At 45.7% G+C, this 16202-nt stretch overlaps 1 protein-coding gene, 1 non-coding gene and 1 pseudogene across 2 annotated transcripts, besides 1 other annotated feature; all 3 read right to left on the reverse strand.

The window, feature by feature from the left end:
* HLA-B (major histocompatibility complex, class I, B) lies at positions 546-3850 on the reverse strand. Its single transcript, NM_005514.8, has 8 exons — positions 3757-3850; positions 3359-3628; positions 2838-3113; positions 1988-2263; positions 1778-1894; positions 1304-1336; positions 1150-1197; positions 546-967 (listed from the first exon to the last, which is right to left on the reverse strand). Exons 1-7 carry the CDS (start codon positions 3827-3829, stop codon positions 1154-1156), a joined length of 1089 nt encoding a protein of 362 aa, NP_005505.2. The 5' UTR covers positions 3830-3850; the 3' UTR covers positions 546-967; positions 1150-1153.
* MIR6891 (microRNA 6891) lies at positions 1895-1987 on the reverse strand. Its single transcript, NR_106951.1, has one exon. It is a non-coding gene; the product is annotated as a microRNA 6891 (primary transcript).
* Positions 3293-3916: an enhancer, noted in NCBI's record as "H3K4me1 hESC enhancer chr6:31324399-31325022 (GRCh37/hg19 assembly coordinates)". NCBI's record gives its function as "activates a minimal SCP1, AML or CMV promoter by ChIP-STARR-seq in naive H9 embryonic stem cells {active_cell/tissue: H9 hESC(naive)}" and the evidence as "EXISTENCE:reporter gene assay evidence [ECO:0000049][PMID:30033119]".
* DHFRP2 (dihydrofolate reductase pseudogene 2) lies at positions 10138-13636 on the reverse strand (annotated as a pseudogene).

A 16202-nucleotide genomic window follows, 5' to 3' on the forward strand; every position in this document is an offset into this window, starting at 1 on the left:
TCCCCATCCCTCTTTCGACAGCAACCCCCTCCCCGCACCCCCTGCCCCAGCACACTGCAGCACACAATCAGGTTCTCTCTTCAGGAAAGAACAGTCCTTGATGACGGGTCCAATTTCACAGACAAATGTAAGTCTAAATTAGACTCTGCTTTACAGATTCATGAGTTGGGATTGGATTCAGCACCAAGATCACTAGAACCAGGGCAGGGAGAGAGGGCAGAAGAGCAGAGCAGAAAAGGAGCTCTAGAAGCAGAGCAGGAGGTGAATGGCTCTGAAAATTTGTCTCAGAATGCACAGAGACCCCCGTGTGCAGGGGCCGCCCTGGGCGATGTGTGAGCCTCTGTGGTCACAGCTCCCACTGGACAAGTTTCCACTGAAGGGACAAGGACAATGGAGCAGTGAAGGTGACCCAGCTGAGGACTAACCACATAAAGCCCATGATGGACTCAACACCAAATGGGCACAGGCCCCATCCACACTCGGCCCCCCACAGCCTTCTCCACACCCCACCTGCAACAGACTCAGCACAGCGAACATGCAGATTCTGGAAGGTTCTCAGGTCTTTATTTGCTCTCTCAAATTCCAGGAATTGACTTATTTAATTAATCCATCAACCTCTCATAGCAAATATTTGAGAAAACAAATTTATATTCAGATTCTTATTTTCAGTAGGGAAGTAAGAAGTTGCAGCTCAGTGCACGTAAAGTTGAGACAGAGATGGAGACATCCAGCCCCACCTCTCTGGAACAAGAAAGATGACTGGGGAGGAAACACAGGTCAGCATGGGAACAGGGGTCACAGTGGACACAAGGGTGGGCTGTCTCTCCACCTCCTCACATTATGCTAACAGGGACGCAGACACATTCAGGTGCCTTTGCAGAAAGAGATGCCAGAGGCTCTTGAAGTCACAAAGGGGAGGCGTGAAGAAATCCTGCATCTCAGTCCCTCACAAGACAGCTGTCTCAGGCTACAGAAAACAACAGTCATGAACAAATTCTGGTTAGTCATGGTAAGCGATGACACTCTAAACAGCCCACCACACACGCGAAACATCCCAATCAAAGAATCCCCATTACCCAGGCCTTTCCCCTCTGCCCCACCCACCCCCAGACCCGCCACCCCACCCACTCTAGACCCCAAGAATCTCACCTTTTCAAGCTGTGAGAGACACATCAGAGCCCTGGGCACTGTCGCTGCCTGGAGTAGAACAAAAACAGGACCTGGTCAGAGCCCGCAGGAGACGTGGGACAGGAGGAATTATGGGGTGGGTGAGCTCCTCCACACTCCCACCCCCACCACTTACACGCAGCCTGAGAGTAGCTCCCTCCTTTTCCACCTGTGGGAAGAAAATGTCCTGTGAGGGCACTGGGAGGAAGCAGGGCCATGAGATCTTAGAGGAACCTCCTAGTCTTGGACCCAAAAGGAATTTCCAGAAGTATGACTACAGACCCAGGGCAGGATCAGGAAACACGAGGAAAGCAAGTGTGGGTCCTGGACCAACTGCCCTCCTAAGGTCTGTCCTTAGCAGGGACCTTCCCCTGACTCATGAATGCTGGAATCAGGACCCCAACACCACAACCATCAAGGTGATACATCCATCCTTCATTGTCACATGTGCTGCACAAAAGAGTAAGTGCTGGCACACAGGGTCCCAGGCTGCGTTAGCCCCTGTGTGCATGCTGCTTCCCAGTAATGAGGCAGGGAACACTTCTACCTGGGGCTTGAAACCCCCAGTGGGACAAGAAAACCCAGACCCCACCCCTCACCCCTTCCCTACCTGAACTCTTCCTCCTACACATCACAGCAGCGACCACAGCTCCGATGACCACAACTGCTAGGACAGCCAGGCCAGCAACAATGCCCACGATGGGGACGGTGGACTGGGAAGACGGCTCTGGGAAAGGAGGGGAAGATGAGGGGCCCTGACCCTGCTGAAGGGCTCCTGCTTTCCCTGAGAAGAGATATGACCCCTCATCCCCCTCCTTACCCCATCTCAGGGTGAGGGGCTTCGGCAGCCCCTCATGCTGTACATGGCATGTGTATCTCTGCTCTTCTCCAGAAGGCACCACCACAGCTGCCCACTTCTGGAAGGTTCTATCTCCTGCTGGTCTGGTCTCCACAAGCTCAGTGTCCTGAGTTTGGTCCTCGCCATCCCGCTGCCAGGTCAGTGTGATCTCCGCAGGGTAGAAACCCAGGGCCCAGCACCTCAGGGTGGCCTCATGGTCAGAGATGGGGTGGTGGGTCACGTGTGTCTTTGGGGGGTCTGATGGGAAGAGTCAGAAAATTCAGGCGCTTTGCATCTTTCATGGGACACCCTAGGACCACCCATGTGACCAGCCTGAGAATGGACAGGACACCTGGGGTGGGGAAGGGGCACAGAACCCAGACACCAGCCTGGACGCAGGCACCTGGGATAATCTCCTATTCATTGGAAAGTTCGAGTCTCTGAGCGGGGAACAGGGACTTCTGCTCCTGATCTGAGTGGAGGTAAAGTGACTCAGAAGTGCTGGAATCAGAGCCCCAAACACACTGAGTGTGAGGCAGAGAACAAGGCCTGAGAGGAAAAGTCACGGTTCCCAAGGCTGCTGCAGGGGTCAAAGGGGACCCCTGATCAGTATTCTAGGGACTGTCTTCCCCTCCATTTCCTCAGAGACGTCATTCCTTAATTGTCTAGAGAGAAGAGGGGGCCCTCAGAGGAAACTCAGGAAAACTCATGCCATTCTCCATTCAACGGAGGGCGACATTCTAGCGCTGATCCCATTTTCCTCCTCTTCTCGTGGGAGGCCATCCCCGGCGACCTATAGGAGATGGGGAAGGCTCCCCACTGCCCCTGGTACCAGCGCGCTCCAGCTTGTCCTTCCCGTTCTCCAGGTATCTGCGGAGCCACTCCACGCACTCGCCCTCCAGGTAGGCTCTCCGCTGCTCCGCCTCACGGGCCGCCTCCCACTTGCGCTGGGTGATCTGAGCCGCCGTGTCCGCGGCGGTCCAGGAGCGCAGGTCCTCGTTCAGGGCGATGTAATCCTTGCCGTCGTAGGCGTACTGGTCATGCCCGCGGAGGAGGCGCCCGTCCGGCCCCACGTCGCAGCCGTACATGCTCTGGAGGGTGTGAGACCCTGGCCCCGGCCCCGCGGTCAGCCCAGTCCCCCGAGCCCCGCCCCGCCCCGACCAACCCGCGGGGATTTTGGCCTCAACTGAAAATGAAACCGGGTAAACGCGCCTGGGGCTCTCGCCGGTCGAGGGTCTGGGCGGGTCCCGCGGCCTCAGGGAGGCGGATCTCGGACCCGGAGACTCGGGGCGACCCGGGCCGTACGTGGGGGATGGGGAGTCGTGACCTGCGCCCCGGGCCGGGGTCACTCACCGGCCTCGCTCTGGTTGTAGTAGCCGCGCAGGTTCCGCAGGCTCTCTCGGTCAGTCTGTGCCTGGGCCTTGTAGATCTGTGTGTTCCGGTCCCAATACTCCGGCCCCTCCTGCTCTATCCACGGCGCCCGCGGCTCCTCTCTCGGACTCGCGGCGTCGCTGTCGAACCTCACGAACTGGGTGTCGTCCACGTAGCCCACTGAGATGAAGCGGGGCTCCCCGCGGCCGGGCCGGGACACGGAGGTGTAGAAATACCTCATGGAGTGGGAGCCTGGGGGTGAGGAGGGGCTGAGACCCGCCCGACCCTCCTCCCGGCGCGGCTCCTCAGGTCCTGCGCCCCCGCCTGCGGTCCCCTCGCTCCTCCCGGCAGAGGCCATTTCCCTCCCGACCCGCACTCACCGGCCCAGGTCTCGGTCAGGGCCAGGGCCGCCGAGAGCAGCAGGAGGACGGTTCGGGGCGCCATGACCAGCATCTCGGCGTCTGAGGAGACTCTGAGTCCGGGTGGGTGCGTGGGGACTTTAGAACTGGGACCGCGGCGACGCTGATTGGCTTCTCTAGATATCCAATACCCAATGGGAGTGGGAAGTGGGGACGCGTCACGAGTATCCTGGAAGAAGGACCCGACACAAGTTGGGAGAAGAAGTGAAACTCAGGGGAGTGGGGAATCCCCAACGCTGCGCCTCCCCATTGCAGACGCGGCCCTCGGAGCCTGAGACCCTGAGAGCCCCGTCCGGGACCTGGGACTTCGTCCTGATCCCTCTTCTCCTACACCAAGCCTCTTTGTCACACTGTCTGCCTGAGTCCTGGACAAGGATCTGTCTGTGGAAACCAGGGAGAGACCCCCAGGCTGCGCCCAGCCCCTTCCCCTTCACTTCTCGTCCTGGAATCCCTGTCCCTGAACTGGACTCCCTGCCTCCCACTCCTTACCTCTCCTCTTGGACTCTTGTGTAGGGAAACTGAGCACGGGGAACTTGATGCCAGAGAGTGAGCTCGCCCTGGGAATGGAGGTGTAGAGACAGGGGTTTTCTCTTTAAACCTGGTGAAGTTTTCTCTGAAGGCACCGCATAGGGATTCTCATAGAGACCAGTTTCCTTTTTGTTTGTTAATACAGTAGGTAGCACAATATTGGTAATCCCTGAATGATTAGAATTCCAATTTGTAAAAGACCTGTGTCAAAACAGCATTACAATTAAACTCTCAAAGCTCCTAAGTTTTACTTTCCCAGACTGTGGATCTGTAACTCTGGGTTGTTGCATTTAAAATTATCTTCATTCCCCACCCTGAGTTTCCCTGTGTGAGTCCAGAACATCTCCTGAATATAAAGAAGCAGGGTTTGTTACTGTCTATTGCAACCGGGAGCCTGTAGTCATCACCTCAAAGTTGCGAGTGCTCCATGCAGTCCCAATGCTCTTCACCGACGCTGAAGCACTGCCTGTTTTCCTGAACTCTGCACATCCAAGCAGTGTGCGTATTTTATCTGAACACTTGGTATTTTTGTAACTCTTTTTTTTTTTAATCATAAGGAGCCAATTAGTTTTTAGGAAGTCCAACAAAATGTATTAAATACCGAATGCAAAGAACCCTCTGCCAGGCTCTTCCACTGCTTTAGAATTCTTTCTCCTGCTCCTTTTCCTCACCTCCTGCCTCTCCAGCCCTTCTGTCTGCCCCTCTCATCCCTCACACCCCCGCTCCCCTTAGTCCCCGCCACCCTGTCACTCCTGAATTGTGGCACTAACACTGTCCCTCACCTCCTGCCCATATCTGTTCTCCCCACAGTGCTCAGCAGTCCTGCTAATGTGACTCAGGTCATGTCATTTCTTCACTTGCAATGGTTGGGTTTTGGTCTACCATTTTGCTATACGTTTTCAATTTGTCTCATATCTTTTTGTTTCTGTTCCTCCTTTACTACTTTCTTATGTGTCAAATAAACATTTTTTAGTTTATGGTTTTAATTCTCCTAGTGGCTTTTGGCTATATTTCTTTACACAATAGCAAAGAATGGAAACCCGATTCCTTGACTTTTCACAGTGAAGTTCAGGTTATATTAAGCTGCATCCAGCAAAATAAAGGACACTTCTAACAGTGTAGTTTCTTGTAACCTACCATTGTGCTATTATTGTTGTATATATTACATCAACCTATATTATAGACTCAGTGATACAGTGCAATACTTTTTGTTTTAAACAAGTAGCCATATGTCTTCAGGAAATTAAGAAAATGAGTGTGAATGTGACATGTGTATGTGCATCATTTCTGTTGTTAATTGTTCCTTTCTGTATATCTGGGTCACCATCTAGTATCATTTTCCTTCACCCTGAAGCACTTCCTTTAAAATTAAATGTAGTACAGGACCCCTAGGAAATTAATTTTATGGCTTTGATTATCTAAAAATGTCTTTATTTTTGCCTCCCCTCCCCCCCCCCTTTTTTTTTTTTTTTGCTTATTAGGGCATTTATGTGTAATAAAATTCACCAGTTTTAGCTGCGCTTTTTTGGCGAATATTGGTAATTATTTATAGTCATGTAACTACCACACTGCCCAGTAGAGAAACCCAGAATGCAAAGAATCCCCTGCTAGGCTCCTCCACTGCTTTAGAGTCCTTTCTCCTGCTCCTTGTCCTCACCTCCTGCTTCCCCAGCCCTTCTCTCTGTCCTCTTCCCTCACACCCTCCTCTCCCCTTAGTTCCCACCACCCAGTTACCTCTGAGTTGTGGCGCTGTAGAGAACCGTTTCTTTTCCCTAAAAACTTTCTTTCTGCCCCTTTCTATTTAATCCTTGCCTCCCACCCTCACCCCTTCCCTTCACTCAACCACCACTCTGTTTTCTGTCACTGCAATACTGAAATTTCTAGAATGTAATGGACGTGCAGTCGTATGTTATGTAGTCCTTCGTTTGGTCTCTCCTTTAGCATAACGATGTGTGAGATGATGCCATTCATTCATTTTTGTTGCTGAGCAGCTGCTGAGTATTGCTGGAATCCCAGCTTATTCATTGGTTTCTCTGCCTCCAGTTGATAGACATGTGGATTCCTCCAGTTAGGGTTTGTTATTAATGAAGCCACTATAAATAACTGCTTACAAGTGTGGCCTTACATTTTTATTTCTTTTGGATAAATACATATTTGTGGAATTGCTGGGCCATGTGGTAATAGATGGGTAACTGTATAAGAAACTGCCATACCACTTTACAAATTGGCTGCCACATTTTTTGCATTCCTACCAGCAATATCAGACATTCCTATTTTTTCCATATTCTTGACAGTATTTAGACTTATCCAATGTCTTTTTAACTTTATCTATTCTAGGTGATGTGTGATGGTTTCTCATTGTGGTTTTAACTTGCACTTCTTTGATGACTAGTATTGTTTGCTGTCTTTTCATGTTCATCTAAGTGACTTACTACATATATTTTATGAACTATTTTGCAAATTCAGTGATTAATTCCAGAGACTTTTTCAGAATTCCCTAGTGTTTTCTACATATGCAATGAAGTTGGTGACAAAGACTTTTGTTTCTTCCTTTCCTATCTATTGATCTTTTTTCTTTTAAAATTATTTTTATTTGGTAGAGATGAGGTCTCACTATCAGGCTGGTCTCAAACTCCTGAACTCAAGTGATCCTTCCACCTCAACCTCCCAAAATGCAGGGATTACAGGCATGAGCCACCATGCCTGGTCCTTCTATTGGTTTCTTATTTCATTTTCTTGCCATGTTGCACTGATTTGGATGCCTCTTAGGTGTTTAAACAAGAATGATGAGAGCTCACATGTATGTTTACAAGGAACTTAAACAAATTTACAAGAAAAAAAACAGCCCTATCAAAAATTGGCAAAGGGTATGAACAGACACTTCTCAGAAGAAAAAACATATGAAAAAAAAGCTCAATATCAATGATCATTAGAGAAAAGCAAATCAAAACCACAATGATGTACTATCTCCTGCGAGCCAGAATGGCGATTATTAAAAAGTGAGGAAACAATAGATGCTGGTGAGGCTGTGGAGAAATAGGAATGCTTTTTCACTGTTGGTGGGAATGTAAAATAGTTCAACCATTATGGAGGATGGTGTGACCATTCCTCAGAGATGTAGAACCAGAAATACTATTTGACCCAGCAATCCCTTTACTGGGTATATACCCAAAGGAATATCAATCATTCTACTATAAAGACACATGCACAGGTATGTTTATTGCAGCACTATTTTCAATAGCAAAGACATGGAACCAACCCACATGCCCATCAATGATAGTCTGGGTAAAGAAAATGTGGTAGATATACACCATGGAATACTACACGGCCATAAAAAGGAATGAGTTCATGTCCTTTGCAGGGACATGGATGAAGCTGGAAGTCATCGTCAGCAAACTAACATGGGAACAGAAAACCTAACACCACGTGTCCTCACTCTTAAGTGGGAGGTGAACAATGAGAACACATGGACACAGGGAGGGGAACAACACACACCAGGGCCTTTTGGGGAGTCGGGGGTAAGAGGAGGGAACTTAGAGGATGGGTGAATAGGTGCAGCAAACCACTATGGCAGACTATACGTATGTAACAAACCTGCACGTTCTGCACATGTATCTGGAACTTAAAGCAAAATAAAATAAATTAAATAAAAAGAGAAAGTGAGTGACTTACATGTACACATATGTTCATTGAAGCACTATTCACCATAGCAAAGACTTGGAATCAACCTAAATGCCCATCAATGGTAGACTGGATAAAGAAAATGTGGCACATATACACCATAGAATACTATACAGCCATAAAAAAGAATGAGATTACGTCCTTTGCAGGAACATGGATGGAGCTGGAGGCCATTATTCTTAGCAAACTAATGCAGGAACAGAAAACTATATACCACATGTTCTCACTTATAAGTGGGAGCTAAATGATGAGAACACATGGACATGCAGAGGGGAACAACACACACTGGGGTCCACTTGAGGGTGGAGGGTGGGAGGAGGGAGAGGATCAGGAAAAATAGCTAATGGGAACTAAGACTTAATACTTGGGTGGGTACTAATGGGCATAGAAATAATTTGTGAAACAAAACCCCATGACACAAGTTTACCTATATAACAAACCTGCACATGTACCCCTTAACTAAAAATAAAAGTTAAATTAAAAAAAAAAACAAAGAAAGTGCATGTCTGGAAAGAGCGTATGGTTGGGTTCCGTGTTTTTTTAAACCAAGTCACACAATCTCTGCCCTTCATTGGAGTGTTGATTCATATAGGTTTTTGTCATTATTGATATGATAAGTTTCACGTCTACCATGTTATTTTCCCGGTTTTTGTTTCTCTGTTCCTCTTGTCCTGATCAATGACTTTTTATTAGAAACCATAGAAACAAAAGAAAGTAGAATAACATCTTTAAAGTGCTGGAAGACAAAAAGATCAACTAAGAATTCTATATCCAGCATAGATGTCCTTCAAGGATAGGCAAATGAGATATTTCAGGTAAAAGAAAATTAAAAGAATTTGTCACCAGCAGATCTGTACAATTACAATTGGTAAAGAAAATTCTTCAGACTAGAGGCAAATGATACCAGGTGGAAAATGAGATTATCAAAAAAGATGAAGATGATCAAAAATGGTAAATATTGAGCTAAGTGCAAAAGGCTATCTTGCTCTCCTCATTTATTCTTACTTTATATACATAGAACTGTTTAAAGATAAGAAAAAGTTTTTTATCGTGGGACTTACAACCTATATAGATATATTACATATAATATCTATACCATAAAAGATGGACATTTTATAGAGGATAAATGGTTGCAATATTTCTATATTTATGGGCACTAGTACATTATTAACTGAAAGTAGTCTGTGAAATGTTAAGAATGAGTTAAGTTCTGAAGGAAATTGTGACACTAAAAACCATTCAAAAGATCGACAAGTCTCGGAGATGGTTTTTTGAAAACAAATCCTAGCCAGTCTTGAGTATCATCATCCTACGATTTCAGAACTATCGTGAATATAAAAGTAATCAAAGAACAGTCCTGCCCAGAAAGAGGAGTTATCCCTAAATATGGTGTCCCTGGGACAGCTGGCCCTCCCTGCTGGACCTCTTCCACATGTATGCTTTCTGCAGTGACTTTGTTGTCTTGCTCTTCCACTCTACCCAGTGTCCTGACCCAAGAGACAAGGGGCGTCTGCTGCTGTGTCCACACTTGGAGAAGGAAATCTTGAAGGTGTCAGTACATTACAAGCTGGGCATGACAGCTCACCCCTGTAATCCCAGCAATTCAGGACGCTAAGGCAAGAGGATTGCTTGAGATCAGGAGTTGGAGACCAGCTTGAACAACATTGTGAGAACCTCGTCTCTAAAAGATATAAAAATAAGTAAACTTAGCTGGGCACGGTGGTGGGCACTTGCATTCCCAGGTATTGGGGAGGCTGAGATGGGAAGATCCCTTGGGCTTATGGATTCAAGTCTGTAGTGAGCTGTGATCGCATCACTGGACTCCAGCCCAGACCACAGAGTGGGATCTTGACTCAAACAACAACAACAACAACAAACATTGTAAACCTTTGCTCACCATGGGTTATTTTATTTATTATTTATTCAGTGTGTATTTTGATTTTATTTTACTGGCAGCACAATAAACCAGGACCTGCTGAAACTAGAAATCACATCCACTTTCCAGTGTTAAAAAGCCCAGTCCAGGCAGGTGAGAAGGAGACAGTCCTCATTAGCACTGAGGATTCAGGGAGAATGAGATGGGCTGGGCAGGAAGGTTTTTTTGTTTGTTTGTTTGTTTGTTTGTTTGTTTTCTATGAACAAGTGTGACTTTTTATTATGATAGAGTTGTTTTTATTAAAGGAATACATGAAAATGGTTAAGTAAAATCAAATGGCTCCAAAAGTCTTACAATGAAAACAACAGTCCTGCCAGTTGTTCTCTCGAGAGGCAAACACTTTTCATTCTCTTAGTTTTTCCTCCTGGTAGTTACCTTCATGGGTTTTTCCAAATTATTATTTTTTTAGTTTTTCAAGTGGGTGCATATATTAATACATGTAATTTTAAAAAGCCTCTTCAGTTTATAATGCATCCTAACAGTCCCCTGCCCCATCCCTCCTAATTCTCCAGAGCAATGACTTTTAACTCTTTTAGCAATGTCTTCTATTTTTTTCTCACATAACTACTTAGTCATTTCTTGATTATTTTATACATTCTATAGTAATTTCTTGATATGACAGATGAGGATTTAGCTCTTACACCATCACTACCTTCACTTTTCCCCCCATATTGTCCCAAAGTAGTTACCAGATTTAGGGGCTAAGTAGTCACCACATCATTATGAGTATGTACATATTGCTCATTGTTGAGAAAAACAGAGTATTATGCTCTTGCTTCCTGCCTTGTGCTTCCTTCTGCCCTAGAATTAATGATTGCCTAACCACCCTTCCCCCTTGTTTTTTTTTTTTAACTTTTGCTTTATCTTCAATGAACTACTTTCCAAATGCCCCAAATCTGGCCATAACCTATTATTATTTTTAAGAGAAGGGAATCTTACTATGGTGGCCAGGCTGGTCTGGAAATCTTGGGCTCAAGCCAACCTCTTTGCTTAGCCTCCTGAGTAGCTGGAACTACAGGCATGGGCCATTCCACCCAGCTAACCTATTAATATTTTTACTGTTTCTTTTTAAAGCCAGCTCCATAGCTGGAATATTTCCTGTGTTGGATCCTATTTGCTGGATCCATGTCATTCTCTGGTTTGTCTACTCCTTCATTTTGCTGGAGTATTTTCTCCAATAGTTTCCCAACAAAAGATACATGGAGGTAACCCCTGAGTCTTTGCTTGCCTAAAAATGTATTATTTTACCTTCACCCTTGATTATTTGGCTGAATATAGATTTATTCGTTGAAAATAACTTTCTTTCTGGAATTCTGAAGGCATGGTTCCATTGTTTTCAGCTTCTTTTTCGAGACAAGGTCTCTTCTGTCACCCAGGCTGGAGTGCAGTGGCACAATCACAACTCACTGCAGCCTCGAACTCGCAGGCTCAATTGATCCTTCCATCTCAGCTCCCTGAGTAGATGGGACTACAGGTGTGCGCCACAATGCCCAGCTAACTTTTGTATTTTTTGTAGAGATGGGGCTTCACCATGTTGCCCAAGCTGATCTCAAGGTATCTGCCTGTCTCTGCCTCCCAAAATGCTGAGCCACTGTATTACAGGCATGAGCCACTGTGCCTGGCCAGTTTTTCTTTTATTCTCTCTCTACTTTCTTCATTTCTCAAAGGCATCTCAAACTCAGTGGGCCCAAACCCAGGGCAAACTCCATCAGAATATCCTGCTACTTCTGACTTTAAAATATATCTTAAATCACAGTTTCTTACTACATGCAACCCTTTGGTTCAAACTACCATCATCCCTCACTTGAACTTAGAATTGGTTTTCCTGCTTCTGTATTTTTTTAAAACATAAAATATTTCAAATAAACCATGCGTGGCTTTATACTTTTTACTACATAAAAAGAATAAAGATCTGGGGTGGCTCAAGCCTATAATCCCAGCACTTTGGGAGGCCGAGGCAGGCGGATCACTTTAGGTCAGGAGTTTGAGACCAGCCTGACCAACATTGTGAAACCCCGTCTTCACCAAAAACACAAAATTAGCCAGGCGTCGTGGCACGTGCCTGTAGTCCCAGCTACATGGGAGCCTGAGGCAGGAGAATCATTTGAACCTGGGAAGTCAGAGGTTGCAGTGAGCTGAAGTTGTGCCATTGCACTCCGTCAGGGTAACAAGAGCGAAACTCTGTCAAAAAAAAAAAAAAGATATGAAGAGCTTATATACTTAAACATGAAATTGCTTTAAGTGTTTGCCATTCACTGTTCACATGCATGCCAGCAGCTTCTTACTGCAAACACCTGGGACTTGCTATAGAGCAGCTGGAGTACATTCTGCCCACACACAGGACAGGGAGCTGACAACCAAGGAGTGGGGGATCAATATGCCAGCTTTCTCCCCTCCGTTTCCCTGTATCTCAGCAGTATGGAGTTTGTTACCAGTGAGAACCTGCTCACTGGCTTTAAACTGGTTTTCTTACCTTCTCAGTTCCATTTCTCCGTACCTCAATTGATGATTTCTGGTAAGACCTAGAAAATAAACTGCTTTCACTGAAATTGCAGTCTTGGAACCTGCTTTGGGTTCCCCAAAAGACAGAAATATATTCATTTTCCCATCACTGGACTTCCAGGTTGTTTTCAATTTTTCACTGTTACAAACAAGGCTGCAACATTTGCGTGCAAACCTCTGGGTATACACGTAAGGAGCTTTCGGTATTTCCCACTAGTGAAACTTCTCAGTTGGAGGGTATGTGCATCTTCATCTTTAAGAAATACTACCAACATTTGAAAAGCCCGACAATGTCAAGGACTGGCAAGAGTCCCATATGCGATGGGTGTGGAATGGCAGCTCACTGTAGCAGGTGCTGGGGACTCAGTCAGGGTCTTGGAGAGGCACTTAATTATAGCAAGAATATTTCATAAGTGGTATCTGATATAGTCAAGATTAGTGGGGAGTAAAAACATGTTGCTTAGAAATAATTATCCAAAGATCTAAAGTCAACAAAAGTCTTTTTTTCTAATGTAAAAATATAAACTTTTTTTCAGAGGGAGGGGGAACAACTTAAAATAAACCAGAAAACACCTTCATATTAATCATTCTTCTCATATACTTGAAATTTGTACTTAATACATCCGAGAGAACGCCTGGATATTCTGGCAGAATTTTATATTTCTCCAAATCAATTTCTGGAAAAAACGTGTCACTTTCAAAGTCCTGCATGATCTTTGTCACAAATAGTTTAAGATGGCCTGGGCGACTCATGGCTTCCTTATAAACAGAACTGCCACCAACTATCCAAATCATGTCTACTCTATTTGCTAATTCTGGTTGTTAAGTAAGTTTTAAGATCTCAACCAGACTTCTGGCAAGAAAATGAGCTCGTTGTGGAGGTTCCTTGAGTTCTCTGCTGAGAACTAAATTAATTCTATCCTTTGAAGGTCGATTCTTCCCAGGAATGGAGAACCAGGTCTTCCTACACAAAATCACCAGATTCTGTTTACCTTCTACTGAAGAGATTGTGTCATTCTCTGGAAATACCTAAATTCATTCCTGAGCGGCGGTCAGGGCAGGTCCCCGTTCTTGCCGATGCCCATGTTCTGAGACACAGCGACGATGCAGTTTAGCAAACGAACCATGACAGCAGCGGTGAGCTCCTCCAAGCCCGCTCGCTACACCAGGACGCGCGGCCAAGATTGGCCGGAAGGTTTTTACTTGGAAACTGGAGGATGAGCCATGACATCCCTCTCTCCACCTCAAAGCTCGTCCTGGGCATCCACCTCCAGGGAGCAGAAGCAGCGCAGCAGCGCCACCTGGTGGTCGATGCGCTTCCTTTGCAGATCACGCACAGCCCTGAGATCCACCTCTCCTTCCTACGCACCACGCATTTCTTCACTGGACACCAGCCTGCGTCAATCTTCCTGTAAAGCAAAAGAAGCGTGAGGTTGGTGGGGGAGGAATGGTGTTATCTCCACCTTTGGCGAGATCCATGTCACCGTGTTCAGGGGAAGGGCCAGGCCTTACTCCCCATGCAGAGAGGAGGCTCTGGCCGTGAAGGCGCCTGTGGAGAGGTGAGGACCCGCTCCCTCTACACTGATGGCCAAGAGCCTGCAGATGGCAGGGAAGGCTTCCCTTCAGCTGTGTCCTATCAGGTTCTTCCAGGAGTCCAGGAGTAGACCTGCATATTGCCTCTGGTGATGTGAGCTGCATGCACACCTAGAAGTGAGGTCACCCCTTCTGGGGGTCCTGGGGCTGCTGGTTGTCCTGGGTGCTCAGAGGGAAGATGGGGAGGGGGCTTCGTGCAAAACAGTAACCATACTCTATAAATTATTTTTTCATTAGCCTTTGTGTCATAAAATAAAATCTAGGACTCCAAAAGGAAAAAAAGAAGGTCTAAAATTTGTGTCCTTTAATAAAAAGTAAACACCCATTAACCACCAAGGATAGACGTTTGCGGAGCAAACCAGAAGCCCCATCATTTGCCCCAGCTCAGCAATAAACTCTTTCCTCCCCCAAATAAAAATACATCCTGACTTTTACGATCATAACTTCTTTGTTCTATTTTATATTTTTATCATCCAAAACTATGATTTAGTTTTACCTTTAGAAATATGCTTTTGTTCTCTTTTATTCTATAGATTCTTTCTTGAAATTTATATTGTGTGGTAGAACTTCCCATAGTGTGCATTTTGCTGATTGCTCCCCAAGCCATTGTTTGAATATGTGTTTTTATTATCTGTATTGCCTCTAAATTGGTAATTGGCTATGGAGGTTAGCTTCTATTCAGGCTTGATTTCTTTCTCACTTGTATTTGTTTGATGGTGCTGTATTGTGTTCTTCCATCAAGAGGAAGAACCTCACATTAGTTTTTTTTATTGTGTTGTTAATCGCCATTGCTGTTCAATGGTTAAATCTGTTAATTCTTGATGGGTTGCAAAAGAGTTATTATAGTCTCAGTCTCTCATTCCTTCCTCATTTATTATCTGAATAATTTCTAAGTAAGAGATTCACCCTCCTGTACTGTTTGTTTACTACTAGAAACTTGCTTTTTGAGAGACTAAGCCAAGCATCTACTCACCTATGACCCAGCAATAGCAGTCTTAGTTATCAACCAATAGAAATGCATGTATGTGTGTGCCAAAATATATGAAAATATTATTCATAGCATCACGATTTGTAAAATCTGGATATAACACAATTGTCTATCAACAGCAAAGGGACAAGAAATGTGAGCTATTTATAAAGTGGAGCATTGGACAGCCATGGGAGTGAATAGGCTATGACCACACACAGCAGGATGATGAGACCCAGGAGCATGATGGTGACTGTATAATGCCATTCAACTGGAACTGGCAGAACTTATCTGTGTTAGAAATCAGGAGTGGCTACTCTAGGGTTGGGGAGGGTGGTTTGTGACTGAGTAAGATCCAGTGATGTTTCTGGGAGGCTGTGATTGGTGTACTTTGATGTGGGTGTTGTTTACCTGAGTGTTCACTATGTGAAACTCCACTGCCCACTTGTGGATTGTCCTTCTTTCTCCACGCATGCTGTCCTTCACTCAAATATACTTTGCTGATGTTTTGAAGCAATTCTATCTACGCTAAGAAGAATCGCTCCTACTGCACATCCTTGGAAATGCTGGATTGAAAAAATTAGTGCAATTGTTTTTAATTCCAGGAAACAAATACATATAAAGAGGAAAATCTACAACAAGAGCAGTAGGTTTGGGAGCTGACACCAGAACAGCTTTGGAAATGGCTCTCGAGCCAGGAACTAGGGATCAAACCCAAACAAACCCATAGGAGGTGGGGGGTGTGAAATGATGTCCAATAGCGCATGAATGAACGAGTCATGGGCAGTCGCTCATGGCTTGGCTGGCCAGTCACAAACGAGGAAAATAGAGTTGGAAAACTGGGAGGTAGAGGAGAGAGGTACGCATAGACCTCTTGCTATAGGCCGAGTGTGTGACGATAGTGGTTGTGTGTGGATGCCTACCAGAGGGTCTTTAAGGGGATGGGGCTCCCTGTAACCAGGTGGGTGAGATGGCTTGATGGACGATGCCACTCAGCCACACAGGCCTTGCTCATGGAGTCCCTGCACAAAGTGGCCATGGTGGCTGTGATGGACACTACATGGGCACAGCAATTGCGTCGCCACTCACCAAGGCTGAGCTGGCAGCTGCCACTGCTGAGGGCCCAGCCCACCAAAAGCAGCTGTTTTTTTGACGGAGAAATAAAACAGGCAGTGGTAATTAAGAATAAAATAACATTAT

Source organism: Homo sapiens, chromosome 6 (assembly GCF_000001405.40).
Source record: "Homo sapiens chromosome 6, GRCh38.p14 Primary Assembly".
Taxonomy (NCBI): domain Eukaryota; kingdom Metazoa; phylum Chordata; class Mammalia; order Primates; family Hominidae; genus Homo; species Homo sapiens.

Coding starts and splice junctions, on each gene's coding strand:
- HLA-B (NM_005514.8), bottom strand. CDS start 3,829: ATGCTGGTCATGGCGCCCCGAACCGTCCTCCTGCTGCTCTCGGCGGCC. Junction 3,114..3,358: donor CTACAACCAGAGCGAGGCCG/GTGAGTGACCCC, acceptor GGCCGGGGCCAG/GGTCTCACACCCTCCAGAGC. Junction 1,895..1,987: donor GCCCCTCACCCTGAGATGGG/GTAAGGAGGGGG, acceptor CTCCTTTCCCAG/AGCCGTCTTCCCAGTCCACC.